General features: G+C 35.7%; 1 long non-coding RNA gene across 1 annotated transcript; it reads left to right on the forward strand.

Moving 5' to 3' along the window:
- The first annotated feature begins 264 nt into the window (after nucleotides 1-264).
- On the forward strand, nucleotides 265-20,778 carry LOC107985134 (uncharacterized). The gene is made up of 2 exons (XR_001753488.1): nucleotides 265-5,067; nucleotides 19,149-20,778. It is a non-coding gene; the product is annotated as an uncharacterized LOC107985134 (long non-coding RNA).
- The last annotated feature ends 1,062 nt before the right edge of the window (nucleotides 20,779-21,840 follow it).

The following is a 21,840-nucleotide window of genomic DNA, read 5'->3' on the forward strand; positions in this document are numbered from 1 at the left end:
TGTTTATGTCGTTAAAAGTCTTTGAGCTGGGCCGGGCGCAATGGCTCATGCCTGTAATCCCAGCACTTTGGGAGGCAGAGGCAGGCAGATCACAAGGTCAAGAGATCGAGACCATTCTGGCCAACATGGTGAAACGCCGTCTCTACTAAAAATACAAAAATTAGCTGGGAGTGGTGGTGTGGTAGTCCCATCTACTCGGGAGGCTGAAGCAGGAGAATCTCTTGAACCCGGGAGACGGAGGTTGCTGTGAGCCGAGATCACGCCATTGCACTCTAGGCTGGCCACAGAGCAAGACTCCATCTCAAAACAAACAAACAAACAAACAAAAATTCTTTGAGCTATACAGCTATGTCTGCTTTTGTGTTTATATATGTCATACTTGCAAAAATTATTAAAATATGAAGATATGAAGTCCTTGGCAGTCTGCGTCTCACAGAAATATAGGATTGGTTTTCAGGATTTAAATACAAGCAATCTTTTAAAAGTCTTTTAAGTAATTAACTGAAAGGACAGTCTAAATGAGGTATAATTAAGTCAAATATATTGCGGAAAAAGAGTTGTAGCTGCTGTTGTACTGGATGAAGACCTCTATATGTTCAAAAGTATTATTTATTTAAATGTTTTGGAAATGGTTTGAAACATCGAACAGTACAGTTGCTACACTAGGAAAATAACGTAGGCAATTCTCTTTCAACATATTTTCCTAAGTGTCTAAGGATTTATTTTCAGTTGTAATGTAGTGAAATTTTTGTTAAATGGAATTTGATTTTTTAGTACACTATTTTTATATTAAAGATGAAGTTGATTTGTCATTATTTCATCCATATGTTTCTCTTTCTTTGATGAGACAAAATCTACAATTTCAGTATGTGTATTTTTCATGTCTGCAAAATGGGTATATTACTACAAGTTCAAAAACTAACATAAAACAGAATGGAAAATCATGGATATTTCAAATATTAAACAATGTCACCATGGATAATTATATGAAATTGGATCCATCCACAATATTTTCCATTATCAAGGACTGACAATCATGGAAGAATAATTGTCCATATATTATTTCCCTTGGACACTGAATTTACTAATTTATGATATAATTTTAGTATGGGGAAGTGCTAGAGACAACTTTTGTTAAACTTTCTTCCAAATCTAAGATGCTTTCATTAGAGTGTGCATCCTCTTCTCCCCCTCTTCCTCCTCTTCCTCCCCCTCTTCTTCTTCCTCATCTTTTGGTTTTGGGCATTACTTCTATTGGAATAGCACTGTCTTACAGAGCATACAGAGCATGCAACTTGCAACATAAACTAGCCCTGAGATGAAGATTCCTCTCCCATTTTGTATGCTGGATAATTCTTACATAAGAGATAATGGTATAAGTTTTATAAGATTAGATAATAAAATCTAGCCTTTCTCTTGGTACAAACATTTATATTCATTTTTTAAACCATAGATTTAAATAAGCAGCTTGAAATTTATTTTTCCGAAAATCTTCCTAACAATGTGTATCAGGTAAATGGTAAATGAGGTGTAAAGTAGTTCTCAAAACTGTCAATTTCTCAGTGAGGCATGTGCAGTAGAAGAGTGTTATTACTTCACCCATGCAACTTTGTTACAGGAAATTAGAAGAGCTAGGTCACTTTAGCTGTTTAACACCTGAATTTCATTTTGTGATAAATCCTTTACTCTTCTTGAATCTCACCTGGTGCACAGGTAATGCAAGGAGCAGAAGACTTACTACTTAGAGAAACTGTTATTTTCTATTGGTGCAATAACGAATTACGACAGCAACAAACTACTCCAGATTTAGCATCTTAGAACAAAATTGTATTATCTCACAGTTCTGGAGGTGAGAATTCCAATGGCTGTCCCTGGGCTTCACTTAAGATATTGGCAGGGCTGACTGCTTTCTGGAATATATAAGTAGGATCCTTTTCCTTGCCTTTTTTGACTTCTAGAGGCTATCTACATTCCCAGGCTCAAGGCTTCCTTCCTTCACCTCCAAAGACAATAATTCTGCATCTGTCTAATCCCATCTCTATTATCAAATCTCTCTGACTAGAGCTGGAAAGGCTCTCTACTTTTCAAGAATTCATGTCATTAGATTGAGCCCACCTAGTTAATCCAGGATAATCTCCCCTATATAGGTTCTTAACTTTAATCCTATCTGCAAAGCCTCTTTTTCAGGTAAGATATTTCAGGTAAGTATATGTTTTTCAGGTAAGAATATGTTTCAGGTAACATATTCATTGGGTATAAAGATTAGGATGTAGACATCTTTGGGAGTGGGGGGACATTACTCTGTCTACCACAATAAGAAAGTGTATTAATGTGTTATTTAAATATTGGGGTTCCTTTGAAGATGAAGGAACACATTATGCAAATTTTTAAAATACTCATTTGAAGGCAGTATCTAGGGCACCAAGTATCTAGGGCAGTATCTAGGGCACATGACCAGTCAAACTTCATGTATAATGAACAAAACAACAGTGAAGTGGTGTTATTACTTAGCAGGAAGAAAAGGCCATTCAGGTTTTTATTCTTTAGTGTATATTACCCGGCGGTGATGTCTTTTGCTTGCCTCCCAAGGTGTGAATTCCTTTCATGTATGTAGGTATTTGTGATCATGAAGACTATTGATGAAAGACTATGATGAAGACTGTTTCCCACCTTTCCTTATACACTGTAAGTCCCCCTCTCTACTCCCTGGCAGGCAGATTATGGCCATATAATCTACACTCTGCCAGCCCAATGTGCCCATGCCAAATGCCTGTTGGCCAGTTCACTGGTAATGTATCAGTGCCCTCAGATAAGTTCTGCATCATGACCTGAATGTGGGTCCTACAGCCCAGTATCCCTTGTGTGTGTGTGTGTGTGTGTGTGTGTGTGTGTGTGTGTGTGTGTGTGTGTGGTTTGTTCTCTACACTGTTGATTCTAAGAGCCATCTGATATCCTTAAATAAATTGCATCCCTGACTACACAAGCCAGCATAAGGAACTGCTATTTACAAACAAGAATGCATATCTGAGCCTGTGTCTTCTTGTTCCCAAACTCAAGGAAATAAGTGATTTAGCAGAAACTAATAAAAAACTTGGATCTACTGATATTTTAATCTGTCTTGAATATGTATTTTGTTATTTTAATCACCAAAAATCTGGTAAGGGAATTATGTTACAGAGAGAATTTAATAATAACTGTTTCAAATGCCTCATGTTCTCACTTATTCGTAGGAGCTAAGCGATGGGTACACATGGATGTACAGAGTGGAATGATGGACATTGGAGACTGTAAAATTTAGGAGAGTAGGATGGAGGTGATAGATGAGAAATTACCCATTGGGTACAACTTAACCGATTCAGGTGATGATTACACTAAAAGTCCAGACTTCACCACAACACAATCTATTCATATAACAAGAATGCACTTGTAGCCCCCAAATCTATAAATATTTTGAAAGGAAAAAAAATAGCTTGTAAGTTAGAGGTTATGTATGTATGATTATTTTTAAAGTAAAACATGAGTCCAGATATTAAAACCCTTGGTATCATGGTGCATTAAATTAAAGGAAAGTAAGTATGCTGGTTTGATTTTTATATCTAACAATGAAATGAATTAATAAAAATAACTCCATTTGAAAGTCAGATTGCTATATTTTAGACAGCCGGGAGAATGGAGACACTGCTAATACTGATTTTTTTGAGCACAGTGTAAGTGCAGCATAAGAAATTCTCTTGGTGATGGATGACATGCAAACTGAATAGCAATTTTAAATATTGTATTAGAGAAAATCATAGAAAGGTACCCTTACTATTTAATTGCTATTTCAAGTGGTTGTTTGCTTGTTTCTTTTTGTTTCCACCCCATGCCCCATAAATGTTTCCATAAGTTGACTAAGTCTGTACTCATTAGCACATGAACCAGGGACTCCAGTTCCTCACTGTAGTGGGTGTCCCAGTCTAAAATAAAGTCTTTTTAAAGAAGATGGTGAAAAAGGGAGCAGAGGTAGATAGTGAAATACCATGTTTGAAACTATAAAACATGTCAAATTTGTCAAGTTTGAATAAAAGTAACTTCATTTGTATGTTTATATTTTTAAGGCAAATGAGAAACACATCTACAATTAGAGTCATCAACACTAGTCCTACCAAAGCAGTGTAAGCTTCTTATCTGGGCTTTTAAATGTGTGGCCAAATGGTTAAGTCCGGTGACAGAATAACAGTCGATCAGTCAAAATCTGATACTGTTACCTAGGTATGCCAACGATGCTAAGAAGAATATGTGCAAAAGTAAAGAGGAGAGAAATCAGAAAGATTTAAGTGAAGAGAATGATCTGTTCAAGATGGTGGTGAATAGGACACCAACAAGTAGATGTGTAATGTAGCATGAAGAGCACAAGTGGGTTGATTTGAAAATCTAGAAGAGTTAATATTCAAAACAGGGGTGGAGTGGACAGTAGTCTAGAAAACACAACTTTTAGAATTAAATGTTAAAAGAATAATTCTATTATTTTAGAAAGTAGGAAGGGGTCAGTTGACCATTGTGCAGTCAATACTACCAATAGAAGTTGTCTTTTTTTCAGTGAGTTTTCCCATTGATGTTTGATCATTAACCCATTTTAAAGTGGGTCATTTTCTGCATCACAGTTCAGTGACTGTCAGTGATTCTCAAGCTGTCACCACGCACTTAATAGGAAACAATTTCGTTAGACCAGACATGTGAGCAGTAAGTTGATATAGTCTGAACTGAAATATAGAATGAGAAGGTGACATGGCTTGACTCTATGTTTCCACCCAAATTGTATGTGAAATTGTAATCACCACATGTTGAAGGAGGAGCCTGGTGGAAGGTAATTGGATCATGAGGGTGATTTCTAATGGTGTAATACCATCCCCTTGGTGCTGTCTCATGATAGAGTTCTCACGAGAACTGGTTGTTTAAACATGTGTGGTACCTTCCCCTTCTCTCTAGCTCTCTCTCTTGCCACGATGAGAAGAAGGTCCTTGCTTCCCCTTTGCTTTCCGCTGTGACTGTAAGTTTCCTGTGGCTTCCTGTTAAACCCCAAAAATGGTGAGTAAACCTCTTTTTTTTCGTAAATTTCCTAGTCTCAGGTAGTTCTTTCTATCAGTGTGAAAATGCACTAATATAGAAGGATAACTTGAATTTTTAAAAAACAGACTTGCTTATATAGTTTTATTAATTTAATGATGTGGGATAACCCTTCAGGGGTTTCATCTCTGTGAAGACTCAGGAAACTTAGAATGTCTCAAGTCCCTTAGGGAACCAATGAAAATAGATTAATTTGGTGCCTAATTTCCATGACTATATGAAGATAATTATTTATAAATCTTTCTGTTAGGAACAGTGATATTTCAGTATGCTTGTCTGCATTAAGTGCTTTAAATATGTATTGATCACTAGCATTTCTGCAAAGCTATCCTAAGTTGGTTGCTTTTCTTTTTCAAAGGTATTACTCAATTGTTCTTAGGACTGAAAATTAGCTTTGATGAATTCTATTCTGATATTCCTAGCTGATCAAGGCCATGAAGATATTGTCCAGATAAAGCTGTTCTTACTTAACTATCAAGTGAGGCATTGATGGAGATCTCATTATATTGAATACCTTGCTCTGCTTATGGTTTGAACTGAACCTTATAGATCTGTGCTCTTTAAAACTAGTTCGGAAAAAGTGTGCTGAAGCTTCCTTAACAATTATTTGTGCCCAGAAACACATGAGGCGACAGTCAATATTATAGTCATCTCTTCTCAGAATTGATGAAAACAATATACTCTGTTGGAGTTGGTTTTAAAAATGGAGCAAAGATATGTTTGCCAAAGTTAATGCTTTTTCTTAAGCTTGTGGACTTCCAATTCTGTTTGGGATCACTTTTCTTATTACTCTTAGTGGAAGGTGACATATTCTGATCTTGAGAAAACAGGTAACCTAATATTAAGGTACCTATGTAGTAAGAATTTATCCAAAGAATCCTTTGATCCACATGCACATTTACATGTCACATATGAGCTTCATATTTTCATGTCCTTATGGAATTGCCTTTAGAGTAAAAGTGCTCTAGTCCCAAGCAAGCCATTCACTTACATTGTTTCTACTTAGCTTTTGAGCTACACAGTCTTTTTATTAACATTCCTTGCTGAAACCAAAATTTAGATTTTTAGAACTACGATACCATTTCTTAGATGTTTTCACCAAATGCTGATGCTAAAATATGCTTATCTATTCTTTCGTTCATAACCGTCGTCCTCTTAAAATTACACTGTACCTTAAATCAAAAGATTTAAGAAAAACTGGAGCTACATGTTGTCACTGCTTTTTTTCTATTCTAGCATCTTATTCATTCCAAGTTTATGAAATCTATATTTGAGTAAATTAAGATGAATAAAGGATCTGTTCTTTCATTTGATTTTGTCATTACAAAAAAAGAAACACTTCAATTTTCAATAGAAATAGATAATCACAGGGGTCTATGGTTAGGTAAGATACCTGAGATGATGAGATAATATGTTGCTAGATAGGGATACAATTTCCTTGTCACAGCAACTCTATTTCTGTAAGAGATCCAAGATTTTCTTCATAATAAAATAACATACAGATGCCCACACGAAGAAGAGAGAGAGGCAATTTTACAGCAAGAAAAATTGTCAGCATATTTGAGTTCTAATTAAGAAAGGAAGCATGTGAACAGGAGTGATAGCTAAGCCAGGCGGGAGGGCGGGTGGCACCAGGCCCACACAGCACATTTCTAAAGGAATATGGCAACTGCTGTCTATCTTGTTCCAATTACTATATATCAAATAAATGGCTGCCTCTATGGTGGGATGCAAAAGAATGTTAAGAAGGCCTGTTTGCCTTTCTAAAATTACATAATTATATTTGTCAGAATATGACATAGAAGTCAGTTGTTTCTTCAAATTAAAAAAAAAAAAAAATCACCAATTCAGTCCATCTCAGAAGTGCCAAACACAAAGGTAATTTCAAAGCTAAAATCATAAGTAGGAAAGGCATTGCCAATAAGACAGATGTTCTCTTTGGAAGTCCTCTTTCTTTTTGCTGGGTAGCATCTGAGACTTCTTCAACCTTACAAAATGATGAAAAATTAAAGAAGATAATAGCATTTGTAGTTTTCATGAATACTGAAATCACACATTCATGTACAAGAAAAAATTGTGCATGGCAACACACGTCCATACTCAAGGCTGCACATACATAATAAAAAATACAAGCGCATTGTTTTTTCTTACATTTTATAAACACATGCTCATTTGATTGATTGTGTAGATAAAGTAGCATTGTTCTATCATCTTTCCCTCAAGCTTTTAGATATAATTCTTTTTGGAGCCTTATTGTGTGACATGTGAATGGAGAATTTGATATTTAATATTTGTTCTTTTGAATCATGTCCAGGGGCTGGGTAGGGTGGTTCATGCCTATAATCCCAACAGTTTGGGAAGCTGGGCAGAGAGGATCATGAGCCCAGGAGTCCAAGACCAGCCTAGGCAATATAGCAAGGCCTTGTCTCTACTAAAAAATAAAAATAAAAAATTTAGCCAGGCATTGTGATGCACACGTATAGTACCAGCTACCGAGGAGGCCGAGGAGGGAGGACTGCTTGATCCCAGGAATTCTAGATTATAGTGGGCTATGATCATTCCACTGCTCTCCAGCCTGGGTAATGAACAAGACCCTGTTTCAAAACAAAAAAAAAAAAACAAAAATAATGTCAGGACTAGGTACTTCAAAATACATTATAAATCATAACTTGTGTCTGTAGAGCTTATCTCTCATAAGTGGAGATATGTTCTATAATGTCAAGTTTGGATGTTTCCTCTACCATTAGATTTAGAAGGATTAACATTTAATTGTCTTCTTATCAATGGGAGAAGAGAAAAAAAAGTTCCTTAAAATATTTCTACATGGATATGTATCTTTTTGATATGAGAATAGTGCAAGAATTCTGCTTACCCCTACCCATAAATTGCAAGAACCAATTGCAAAATAGATATAAAGGTGTGTGTCTGTATGTGTTTGTGCTTCTGGGCACAATTTTTCATGACAATATTGAAAATGAAAGGGTAAATAAAAATATCAGTCTAAGCAACTTATTTGACAACATGGACATAAACACCAAATGAAAAAGCTAAGAAATTAAAATGGTTGTTTCTAGAAAGAGACTTGGAAGTGCAGAGGCTGAGGCAGAGCAGAGCGTTTAAATATCTATACAAAAATTCAAATAATAAAAACATTTAGTTAAAGTTGGGAATCAAAATAAATAACCACCAAGTGGAAATAAGCAAATAAATGAAAAAATATCCATAAAAGCAAAACTATATAGCCATTAAAAAAGAAAGAAGTCCATCTAGATTATTTTGAATTTTAACAATGTTCCAGATTTATTAATTTAAAAAGTGGCAATTCATGCTATGCATATTTTAGGGACTGAAGCATCAACAGTGAACAAAAAAACCAGTCTGTGTCTTCCAGACTTTACATATGAATGAGAGAAAGCATAAAGTATGTACACATTAAAAAAATTATATTTCAAAAAGTCATGAATTCTACAGAGAAAAACAAAACAAAGTAAGTGGTACAGGGCAGGTGGATGAGTGTGGGGCGCAGCAGTGGGTGTTTTCTTTCCTAGCCCTCTGTGATAATAATATATATATAAACAAAGACTAGAAGGAAGGGAGGAACAAGTCACATGGGTGTATAAGGAAAGGCACTCTAGAAGAAGATAAATAAATGTAACATTCAAAAGTCCTGCCATCTTTGTGCATTAAAGGAGAGGAAAAGTGCTCTGTGTTGATGTATTTCAGAAAAAGAGGAGGAAAATGGTAGAAAATGAGATCAAGTAGGTCACTGAAGGTTTTTTAGATTAACATAAGATATTTCGTTGTTTTTTCTTCTGAGATGAGAACCATTAGTAAGAATTGAAACGTTTTAAAATGTTGATTTTTTTTCTTTGAGGACTAAACAGAATGGTAGCAAGGATCAAATCAGAGAAACCAGGGAACAGTAAACTACTAGAAATCTTGGTAATTTTGACCAGAAGGGTAGAAGTGAAAGTGATGAAATGTGGAAAGTTCTGGAAGCCTTTTGAAAGTAAAGCTGAAAGTATTTGCTGTTACATTTAACTTGAGTGAGGTGAAGACAGTGTTACAGGATATATCCACATTTTCTGACCTGAACAACTAAAGGTCTGAATTTCCTGAGGTGAAGAATACTATTAAATAAAAGTTTTAGGTCATAGGGAATCAAGATACTTTTTTGGACATTTTAATTTTGAGATGTTGAGTGAAAATCAAAGTAGAATATTGAATATGCAGTTTGATATACACTTTCAAAATTTGAGAAATAAATTTGGGAGTAAACATGGATCTTTAAAGCATGTGACAAAATGATACTACTCTTGAAGTACAAAAAATAGATTACTAGTTTACATAAGTCTTTAGAATTCAAGGAGCTAAGAAAAACAATTTTAAAACATGAAGACATATTATGTTTGCCACCTATTTATTGTTTTAATATAGTGATAATAAGAAACCAGATATGATGCATTCTTTTCTTTTTTATTTCAATAATTTATTTTTCAAAAGGCTGGCAGAGGTAACTTATGTTTTTGAAATATTAAAGAAATTCAGTAGGCATTATCTTAGTTAGTTTGAGCTGCTATAACAAAACACCTTAGATGAGGTAGTTTATAAACAACAGAAATTTATTGTTCACACAATTCTGGAAGCTGGAAAGTCTAAGACCAAGGCTCCAGCAGATGCAGTGTCTGCTGAGGGCCCCCGTTCCTCATAGATGACGTCTGCTGTATGTCTTCACATGGCAGAAGGAGTGAACAAGCTCACTTGAGCATCTTTTATATATAAGGGCACCAATGCTATTCATAAGAGCAAAGCCCTTACGATATGTAATCACCTCTGAAAGGCCCCACCTCTTACTGCAATTACTTTGAGGATTAGGTTTCAACATAAAAATGCTGGTGGGACACAAACACTCAGACTATAGCAATTGTAACATGTATTTTAGTGCAAAAAAATGATATTTCTTATATGGTATTCATATGATCAAGATAGAGGAATTAAAGCTAGTTAAACAAGAACCAAGGAGAATTAATTGATGTCAAACTGTGGAAGGTATTTTGCACAAGCCACTAGGTGCACCTTTTCTAAAATATTTTTTCTTAACTAGACTTTATAAAAATTTGTTTATATGAGCTTTTCATTATGGGGACTGAAAAATTAGAATGAAATGTAATCTGCAATACACATGTTAAGTGTTATAATGGAATTACTAGCTGAGTTTAATCCTAGGTCTTGGGGGTAAATATGACTTAGAGCATGTTCTTCCATTTAAAACCATAATTATTAGAAAATAAATGTGCAAACAATCAATCAACTGTAAAAAAAAAAAAAGGATACTATTAGGTTGGTTCAAGAGTAATTATGGTTTTTGCCATTAAAAGTGATGGCAAAACCCACATTTACTCTTGCACCAACCTAGTAAGTACTCTGGAGATAAAGGGCAAGTACCTTTGCTGAGAGACCATAGATGTGGTGTCATTAAAGGTCTTGAAAAATAATTAAAAACAAATTGAGAAGACAGGAGCATTCTATCACAGTGTTTTCTGTCATAGAAGTATAAGCAGCACCACATGTTAAATTATTGTTTTATGAAGTTAGAATATATGCTATGTTAGGCAAAATGTGAGAAGTCAGGGTGGGAAATAGAGATAGACTCATTTTGAAGAGCGCAATTTTAAAGAACAGTGAAGGCAAGGTTTTTGAAATAAAGAATGGCAACTTCAGAATCATATTTTTATATATAAGTGTATGGAAGCAGATGAGGATGTAACGATGCTTAAACAACTAGTATGTGCCATGAGAAAAAAGAATGGTACCAGTATAGCTTTCTAGGTTGTGGAAATATGTATGTCACAGAGTTGTGACACTTGGAATAAAGCTGAGAGAGACCTATAACTTATTTGACATCTATGTATCTGCCTAATTTACTCCACTGGTGAAGAAATGATGTATAAATGCATCAATGCTACTACTACAAATACTAGCGATACTAATACTGGTTATAACAACGACAATGACTAATGTCACTTAAACTACTCTGTGCCAATAACTGTAATTAAAGAATCACATGTTTTTATTGTTTTATATCATCAATAAGTATTTACTGTTTTATGTCATCAGGAAGTTTATCCTCATTAGTCAAAGTTAAATACAGAACAAAAGTTTTCCAAATCCCTTCTTGTATCTTCCGAAGTATAAAATATAACTGGTGGCTGTGACAAATCAACAAACGCTGTCTGTTAAAGGAATTTTTAAAAATCTTTGAAGATATTCAATTGTATTATTTTCAGTGCACATGATAACATACATCAAGCTAAGAAGCACTCTAGACTTTTGGGATAATGTGACATATTTATTATATTTACAAGCATATATTATTTATTTTGAATTCATTATATACAGAGATTTATTTTAAATGCATTTACTCTATGAATTGTATATATAAATGTATTTTAAAACATATATATATATATATATATATACACATATATGAATGGTTTAGTGTTCTTGTAAAAAGAATGCATTGTGTATACTAGTAATTTAAAAGCTATCTTTTGCCAGGCATGATGGAGCACCTGTAATCCTAGCTAGTTGGGAGGCTGAGGCAGGAGTATTGTTTGAGCCTCAGACTTCAAGGCTACAGTGCCTGTTAATAGCCACTGCATTCCAGCTTGGGAAATATAGCGAGACTCTATATCTAAAATTTAAAAAATAAATAAATAATTACATACGATAGGAAAATAAAGGCTAACTCTTTAATGACCTCGTCTGTCATTTATTCATTTATTCTTTTCATTCAATCCTTTACTTACTTATTTTTATTAAGGTGAATTTTAAATTCTGTAGCGAGTACATAATTTAGCACTGTTGTATTTCAACTGCCTCAAAATTTAGCAGCATATAAAAACAAAAGTGTATTATTTTCCCCAGTTTATAAAGCTGAGGAGTCTAGATGCAGACTCTCTGCGTGGGTCTGAATCACGAGCTCGTATGAGATGGCAGTCAAACTAAAGGTCTGCGCTTCAGATTCTGAACACGCCAGAGTTCTGCTTAGTGAAGTTCGGCTTCCAAGCTCAGTCACATGACTGTTGGCAAGAGGTTTCAGTTCCCTGCCATGTGGGTCTCCTGATAGGCTGCAGATGGCATTGATGCCTCAGCATCAGTGATCCAAGCATGAGAGTGAGAGCGCGCACTTAAGATGGAAGCCATAGTCTATTTATAACCCGATCTTAGAAGGGCATATGATCGTGTCTGAACTCAAATTTAATAAAAGTAAGTCACTAAGTCCAGCCCACATTAAGTACACCAAAATTAAGTTCCATCTCTTGAAAGGAGCCCTGTCAAAAACTGATTGGTGTCTTAAAAACCATCACCAAGGTATCTTATCTTCCATTCAGTTCTTATTTTGATGATTAGAAATAGATAATAGAAAATTAGTGTATTTCTTGTGCCCCAGGGTTATGTTCATTCCAGATAGGTTATCTTCTTAAGAAACACAAAATATCGATATACCAATGGATTAAGCCAACTATAAAACTCCATTAGAAACAAACAATTAATTACTAATGAGAGTAATTGTTATTGAGCAAGGGCACAAAAGTTCTCACATCAAATCATTATATTAGAGAGAATTATTAATATAAGAAGATTTTAGCAGTCAGAAACAATCAGAAAAGAGAGTCTTGAAAAAAGTGCTCTTCAGTCGTGTTTAATAACAATTTATAAAAGCTTTTATGTAAACAAAATAGTTTTATGCCAAGAATTATGCCGATGTTGAAAATACAAAGATGAATAACTCAGTTCTGCTTTGAAGGCTCCCCAAGGCTTTTGTGGGAGAGAGTTCTATGTAAAGCTATATTAAGGGCAATACGAAAAGTGCAATAATTAAAGTGTGTAGAAATCGCTATGGAAACGTTTTACTACATAGGAGATCAAGGTGAACTTCACAGAGTAAGTGACCTTTAGTAGAGTCTTGAAAATGTGTAGCATCAGCAAGGTGTGAAAATGCTGGAGGGGAGGTGAGGGGGCGTGCAGAGATGGAAAATGGAAGAGGCTTCTCGGAAAAGAGAGCAGAGCACGGGTGAGAGATGAGAGGGACTCTGACCCCGGCAATGCAAGAGAAGTGGTGTGGAAAGCAGCACAGGGAAGTGGCTAGGTCATGGGAAATAAGTATCCAGCGGAGAGCAAGCTATGTTCCAGCCCTGCTCCCCACACTGTGCACACAGCAGAATAAAGGAGGGCAAGGCCTCCTCACCATTTCAGTGTTGCCTGCCATATTAAAGAAGGAAATTTATCTTGTCATGCGGAGAGAAAGGTTGAAGGATTCTGAGCTGTGTAATTGCTTGATACGTTTTGAGTTTTAGAAAGCTGATTTTGGTTCTGATGAGCTGATACGTTCTGATGAGGGTGAATTGAAGGGGGGTGATTTTCTAAGCAGAGGATCATTAGGAACTCAGTTCTCAGACTGAGAATTTCTTTTTAAAATAGTTCCAAGATATCCAGGAAGTCTGTCTATGACTGGGATGCAGGAAATGCTGACCTTTTCTGTCACACCCTCCTCCTTCCCCTAAAAACAAACAAACACAAGCAAAGAAAAAAAAAAAATAAAAACAAACAAAGAAAATCACCCTCCTTGTTTGAAGGGAAAACCATTGCTTTCCTTCTCCAAGAAAATTTGAGAAAGGATTTAAAATAGTTTCCAAATGGCAAAAAGATGCTAAATGTTGGAGAAGAGATAAACAGGGTCACTGTCTCCATTACTTCTACTAAGAAATGTCCTTGATTTTAGGATTCTTTGGAAATGTCACTATCTTGCCCTCCCGAACCTTCAATGTCTCATGCAGTCTTGGGGAATAATTCTGTCTTCCTCTCTATTCTCATAAAATTAGATTGTTTGTCCTCATCATTTGCACCCCTAAATCTGAAGATTGTCTTGCTCGGAAAGACTTGCCTTTTCCTTTTGCTTTTATTTCTCTTTGGTTTCTTCAAAAGCCAGTTTATATATACATTTTTTCATTTAATTTCTCATGTTCCTAGTTCTTTTTCTAAACTTCTGTCACTTACTGTAGAAATACCTTCATGCTGTTCTCATCATTTATCGTTTTTAATTCCAGAACACAGTGTGGCGACTCAAGTATAACAAGTGCTTAGCAGTATTTGTGGAAAACAAAGAACATGAGTTAGAAAAAAATGAATAAATAGATCTTGGTTTGGTCTAATTGTTAGCAAATGCTCACTTTAATTCCAAATCTGTTCAGGTGAAGATTTTCTTGAGTAAGCCATGAGAGTGTATCTTTTTACAACAGAATCTCAATACTAAGTATATGACTCATATATATCACAGTTTTGGAATTAAATGTGATCTAGTCCAATACTGAGGCTAAACTGATGTAGTATGCTGGAGATTTCTTTGCAAATTAATTCAAATGAAAGTAGGAGCATGTTTGTTTTAAAAATATGATAAACAATAAATCTGACATCATTTCAGAAGAGAACTTTTAGTTCGTAGATACACTTGATGAAATTTAAGTTTAGAAAATATATTGGGCCAGAATTTTAATGTGAAGGTATGAATTTAAATGTTATAAAAAATTAAATAACTTTTATTTTAAATGACTCAGAATTAACTGTAGTTATGTATAACTAATATAATACTTAATATTAAATAAAACATAATAAATAATTTAGATGTTTTCCTTTTTAAGGTACTCTTTCAAGGCTTTAATAGGAAAGATTATGGAGCATTTGAATAAGGGAAAGAAAGCCAATGAGGCTGGGTTATGAGAGGCAAACTAGAAAGGTAGACAGAGACCCGATCACGGTTGGTGTCCAAGGCTCTCTGAAACGTTTTTATGTTATTCTCTAGGAGGCATGATCATCTTCTGATGTCTGACATTTAATATCTCTGTAATATTATGCAAGTTAATTAGCCTACATCAACACAACAGTGTTTCCATCTGTACTATGCAAATAATAACTGCTTGCTTTGAAAATAATAGTAACTGCTTCCTTGGGTTGTTGGAAGAATAAAAGAGATCATTTATATTACCTAAGTAAAATGCTTAGTACATATCACTCAACAAATGTAAACTCTTGATAGGATCAGTGTTTTGCAGGGTGACCCATGCAGACAGGAGAAATTAGAGGGCATTAAAAGACAGATTCACAAGAGAAAGCAACACTTAATTATGTTGGTTGGCATGGAAATTCACAAGGAAATGAGACTCGAGGTGGTTAGAATTTGGGGCTTATATACTGTATTAGTCCATTCTCATGCTGCTAATAAAGACATACCTGAGGCTGGGTAATTAAAAAAAAAAAAGAAAAAAAGAAAAAAAAAAGGAAATTAGAGGGCATTAGTAATCACACAGATAAAGGAAGGTGTCTCTATGAAGATTAAACATGTATTGTAATTACTGGAGAATATTTGCTTGCCTAAAATATTCTCTCCCTAGCCAGATTCCTTCACCGTTTCTGACTAAACATAGAATCACTAAAAATAGAACGACACAACCACAATATCATCTTCTCAGGCAATTCCAGCCTACTTTCTCAGCAAAAGCAGTTTCTTCTCTTTCTGGCTGCATTCCTTGCAGGCAATCCGAGCTGCTTGCAAGAAAACAAAGTTCCTTGCTCATCTTTGCAGTCCTGAAACCTATTGCTGAGGCAATGCTTTGCCCCAGTCCTGACGGGAGCTCCGTTATCACAAAACCTTCTGTCGGTTTACTCCTTTGTTCAGGGGCCACTGGAAGAGAAAGACTAAATGCATTCCACCCAGGGCCTGCCTTCGTGTCCACCAGGGAGCAAGGTGTACACAGGAAGTGGACATTCCGCTGTGGTGGTAGAACCTCCTCTGTCACTCATCAGTGGATGACTGGCTCATTTGACTATTCAGTGCCTGCCCTTTGGACATCTCGCTGAACTGCAGTCTCTCACAGAGCCCTTATAAGTAATACAGCTGATCCTTTGGCTATGCTATGCTATGCTTGTTTTATTTTCTACACCAAATGAAAAGTAGATATTCACTAGATTTTTTGCTAAATGGAGATAACATTTAATTGAATTCAATAAATGAGAGGAAAAATTAATTAGCCTTAAAGTCTCGTAAGTACATCTATACTTTAAAAAATATTGTGTGCTTGCAAAAGCTGCAGATTAATAAATCATCTGCAATGGAATTAAATTTGTGAATATTTATCTCTCTAATATTGTGTAGCAGGCATATTAGTTAGGAAAATAATGAACCATACAGATGCAGTGGCAAAAATTGCAGCCAACCCAGATATTTTAAATTATTAGAACCATAAGTACAAGGCAACTAGAAAAACCCACATGTTGAATGAAAAAGAAGAATGAAAACAATGCCAATTTCAGTATAAGCCAATTGAAGGGTCATCTATCTTCTGTACCAGCACAAAATCCTTGATGGGGTGACACGACCATCCCAGAAGATCCCATTTAACAGCATTTAGTACTGCTTACATTTACACATTTTTTTAGGATAACTTAAAAGTTCATTTTATTTCCATGGTTAAAACATAGTTGCCCATACTTTACTGTTAGAAATTGTGTGGCATAGTAGATGTTTATAGAAACATCTTTCGTATCACACGAACGGTGTGAGAGGGGTTCCAAGCCAACAGAAGTGTTGCTTTCACCTTAGGCACTCTTAAAACTTCAGTTATTTACATCTTAAATAACACATTCAGCTTTTGCAGCTCTACTTTGAGAAAATGAAAGTGGAGTGTAAGGTTAAAATTAAGATATTTTAAAATAAAGTAACATTTACATAAACTGTATTTCACACATGGAAGATCAAACAAATCATCAGAAACAACTCAGCATGAAAATTCATTGTGAATGTCCCAAGAATTCCTTTCCTTTCCTTCCCTTCCCTTCCCTCCCCTCCCCTCCCCTCCTTCCCCTCCCTTCCCCTCCCCTTCCCTCCTTTCCCCTCCCTTCCCCTCCCTTCCCCTCCCCTCTCCTGTTCTTTTTCTTTTCTTACTTTTTCTCTTTTTTTTCTTTTGTTTACACTCAGCTTAAACCTGAGGTATAACTTCAGTTATTCAATGTTACTTTTCTCAGGCACTTTCGTTTTTTTTGTCTTCATCAATAACCCCCTCCCCGCTAACAAGCATTCCCCCAAAAACACATACACTATTCCACATATGCTCTACAGACCAATTTTGTATACGGCCTCCTCTTTTTTTCCACTTCTGTGAAATTCTTTTTTTTTTTTTTTTGAGACGGAGTCTCGCTCTGTCGCCCAGGCTGGAGTGCAGCGGCGCGATCTCGGCTCACTGCAAGCTCCGCCTCCCGGGTTCACGCCATTCTCCTGCCTCGGCCTCCCAAGTAGCTGGAACTACAGGCGCCCGCCACTACGCCCGGCTAATTTTTTGTATTTTTTAGTAGAGACGGGGTTTCACCGTGTTAGCTAGGATGGTCTCCATCTCCTGACCTTGTGATCCACCCGCCTCGGCCTCCCTATGGAATTCTTACAGGTGCTTTTGGTAGTTAACTTCAGAGTTCTTGGTCGTTTTTGCAATCTGAAAAGAAGGAGGAAAAATATGATTAAGAGACTAAATGACCACGACCTAAAATGACCTTAAAAAGATCTGAAGTAACCCAAATAAATAAGAACACTTTTCTCATAGTTTAATACTATTTGAATGAGAATTATATTTCAGGCAAGACTGCCAATCATGTACATCATTGGATTATTTGACCCGTGAAAATTTTCTTCTTGTTGAGAACATTTTGATTACTTTATGTATAATGAAAAACAGTTATGTTTTACTTAACGTAGGTTGATTGTCATTTCATCTCTTGGCCCTTATACATTTTCCTCACTAATATCATTTTGTAGAAGTGGCAGATCACTAAAGATTAGCATATTTAACTCATAAGAGAGTTTTGTGGTTTAAAGTATTTAAGTTTTCTAGAATTGTTACATATCCAACTGCCCACTTTTTCAAATGGCTTAGACTTAGGATGCTTTTCAAGAAATGTTTTCCCTCACAACCCTCAGATTCTTGAGTTCATTTTACAAAATTGCCACTGCATATTTTCTGGCGTAGTTTATGAAAGTATTCCCCTGTTTAAAGGGTAATCCAATCAATTCCCAGGATTCTCCATGAAATGCAAATTGAGTCCAGCTGGCAACCTCTGACTTCAACCTGGTTTTTGTTGTGGCAGTTGTTGGTTTCATTACAAAAATACTCATTCAGAATAATCCAGGTGCTCTATTACACACTGAATGGCTCTCTCATGTAACTTAGATGAATTCTAAATTGAAACATTGTTTATTCTGACATGCCAGAGTAGACATGTTGAACATTTTAGACCCACAAAACTATATTTGTCTAAAGCTGTCCCTTAACTACCCCTCACTTCTTCCTTTGCATTGTCATTGTGTATGTATGTGTGCAAATGACATGTACCTACATTTTTGTAAATTTGTTTATTTTTCTAGGCTGTGAGCTATTCCAGAGCACATACTTTTTATGACTAGCATGTAATGGCACAGAAAATAACTGAGAAAATAATAACTTTACTTTTTTAACAATTTAAATATATAAACTCATTTTAATTGGAAAAGGTAGACAAATGGTAGGCTAAAAATCATTAAATTTAAAAAAATTTGAGTAGGTTTATTAGAATTTATGTATGTTTTATAGAAATAAAGTTTTACAAATGATTAGAGCTGAGTTTCAGGGTAAATTACACAGAATTTTCTCTAAAAGACTAGACATCATGTTTGCTATATTCAATACACATCACAGTTAATTAAAGTATTTAAAGTGTTTAATTAAGTATTTAATTAAGTATAAATTAAGTATTTAATTAAAACATCTTGTAGAGTCATCAAATACTATCCTAAACACCTTCATGAAAGCTTTAGTTTGCATTTTCATTAATATTTTAACTGGTACAAATCAATTGCAGGTGGTGGGATGAAAACTTATTTTAAGAATTCAGAGCTCAACTCTAAACCAACGAAAACCCAGATGCTGAACACTAACTATCCTGTGTTTTCTGTGTCCCAGGGGATGTAGGAAATGAGGGAATTACAAGAAGAGCCAACTGGAAACTTTGCATAGAAACAATACACACAAAATCCGGGCTCATGTTTTCCTTGGGGTAAATATAATTCATATCTTTCAAAGCATTAAAAGAGTTTTTTGGGTTTTATTTTTGTTTGTTGGTTTGTTTTTTGGTAACAACAATCATATTTGAATGCTAACACCCGGGCATTTTTAACAGTTGTGTCTTTCTCTTTTAAAATGTCAGTTATGATAGTGAATGTGCTCTCACAGAATAAGGTGGTGGTGAAAAATATATTCAGTGTCCCCAATTAATGGAGACACAAATTAATCATCAGTTATCAGTATGGATCTTTTAAGTTCATGGAAATGCATATTCTGCACTTGGAAAATAATAATTCTTGAAATTCTTGAAATGTGTAGCAGTTCTAGGTAATTGCATTTTTGGATTCAATTATTTGAAGAAGGATAAATAAAATTTTAGAAATTTTATTGAAGAATAATTCTGTGAGCCATCTTTTCTTTTCTTTTTCTGGGGCAGTAATAGTATAGTGCACTTTATATGCATTAGTCAAATATCTGTTCTTTTTAATAATATGAAACATGGCTAATGTCTTAAAAAATACTCATGTGAGAAAACCCTCGACTCTTTCAGAAAGAGGTTGACATATACACACAACGTGCATATGATACATTTACTTATTTATTCAAAAGTACTTATTAAATGCTAATTCCAGGCCAGTGATTATTGTAATTACTCAACAGACAGAGAAGTTCTCTGCTTCTGAGGAGTTTACAATTTGGTGTGCAAGACTGTGTGGTGGAGATAATCTGTGATTTATCTGTTTTTGCTGAAACTGCAAAACAATCAGCTTCTGGATGCCAAGCATCTCCTCACACCATCTCCCCAGGCCTTGCTGTAGGCATACACCTAGCTAGCCTTTCTAAAAATATATTTTAATTGATCTATGTTAAAAAAATCTTTAGTTTCTTTCTTTCATGCACTGACCAAAATCCAAACATTGTTATTCTGGATTTAAGACCTTTTCAAATCTCATTACAATTTACCTGTCCTCTGACTACCTTCCTTTCCAGCCTGTTACCTACATCCCTTTCTTTATAGTACATACCACCATCAGACATTACTTTATTTATCAGAATGAGGCTTTTAAGGACATAGTCTTGGTTTATGTTTTTCTTCTCACCACTTCCCAGTAACTAGGACAGGATTAGACAGTTAGGTAAGGCTCTATCAATGTGCCACAACTAAAACTTACCCTCCAGGTGGCTAACTGTTGTTTTTGAAAGCACTTTATACGTTTCCATCTGAACTTTGTGTACGTTCTGTCTGCCTGGAAAGCATTTCCAGCAATTCTCACCTCGTTGTTTGTAGTGAATTGTTCAAACTCCTTGTCTGCTTTCTATCTCCTGCCTGTACACTGACTGATACAGGTGGGTAATGAAGATTTTTCCTCAAAAACGATGGTTTTCAAGATTGGATTAAGTGGAGATAAGGTTTGTTAGCTAACTCGTATAGCTATTTCTCATTAAATAGTGTTTCTCTTGCACGTTTTTACTCAGAAACTCTCACCAAACAAAAACCCTTCCTTCATTTTTTTTGTATGATCTTACCTGATCAAACTTATCAGTCTCATATATAAGTTGGGTTTCAATTGTCAGTTATAGAACAGTGACATGTCACTCAGAATTTACCTTATTCTCTAGAACCCTGGTGTGGTCAATTGATAGGTGTGTATAACAATCCACAAAAATATGTCTAATCCACTGTGTGCCTGACATAAAGTTCTATACCAATGGGATGCTAGCATTTAACAAGCATGCTTCAAAAATTTATCACTAGGAAGAGTTAAGAACTCCTGCTTCAGTGATCAGAAACAAGTCCACCACCTGTACTTTTGGTGGTGGCAAAGGATATCCCATTCTCTTCCATGTCAGGCTAATCTTGACTTAATGTAACCCCCCTGGGGTGAATTCCATGCACACTTCTAGACTGTTTCTTCTAGAAAAACTGTGTCTGTTTTTTCTTGGAGCTGTTGAGTGCTGCCGCTCTCTTATGTTCCCTTGGTCTCTGGGCTGCATGGTGGTGGTGGTGAGGGTGGATTGGCGGCAGGTCATGGGGAGCCCCCGGCCTGTTGTTTCAATACCTGAGCAATGGATGATGTGCTCTCGCTGTAGCCACACCACCTTTTAATTTAGGACATTTAGACATCTAAGTCACCTTGTGGGCCTTCCTCTAATTTTCTCAGCATCTTTCTTGTTCATGCTTCCCACAGCTGTGAAAGTGGCCATAAATTTCCACAGTTTCCGCCTCTCTTCTGAGTTAGGGGTTCCCTTTCCCTCTTTTATTAGAGAACTACCTCTTACCAGGCTCTGTGCAGGTAGAGGAGAAGCAGTTTGCAGGGGAGAAGCAGCGTGCAGGGGAGAAGCGTGCAGGAAAGAAGCAGTGTGCAGGGAAGACACGATGTGCGATAGTAACTTTTGGTGAATCAATTCCCGGGAGCTCTTTTTAGAACCATTTCTGATTTTTTAAACCTTCACTCTCAATCCCATTGTCACTAGACTTCCAAACTATATGTTAGAAGTGGCAGGTTTTTTAATATATATATATTTTTTCCGTGTAGTAGACTAAGAAAGAGGCAGTGTCACTTGTTAATCCTGAGCCCACCCAACAAAA

Source organism: Homo sapiens, chromosome 18 (assembly GCF_000001405.40).
Source record: "Homo sapiens chromosome 18, GRCh38.p14 Primary Assembly".
Classification (NCBI taxonomy): Eukaryota; Metazoa; Chordata; class Mammalia; order Primates; family Hominidae; genus Homo; species Homo sapiens.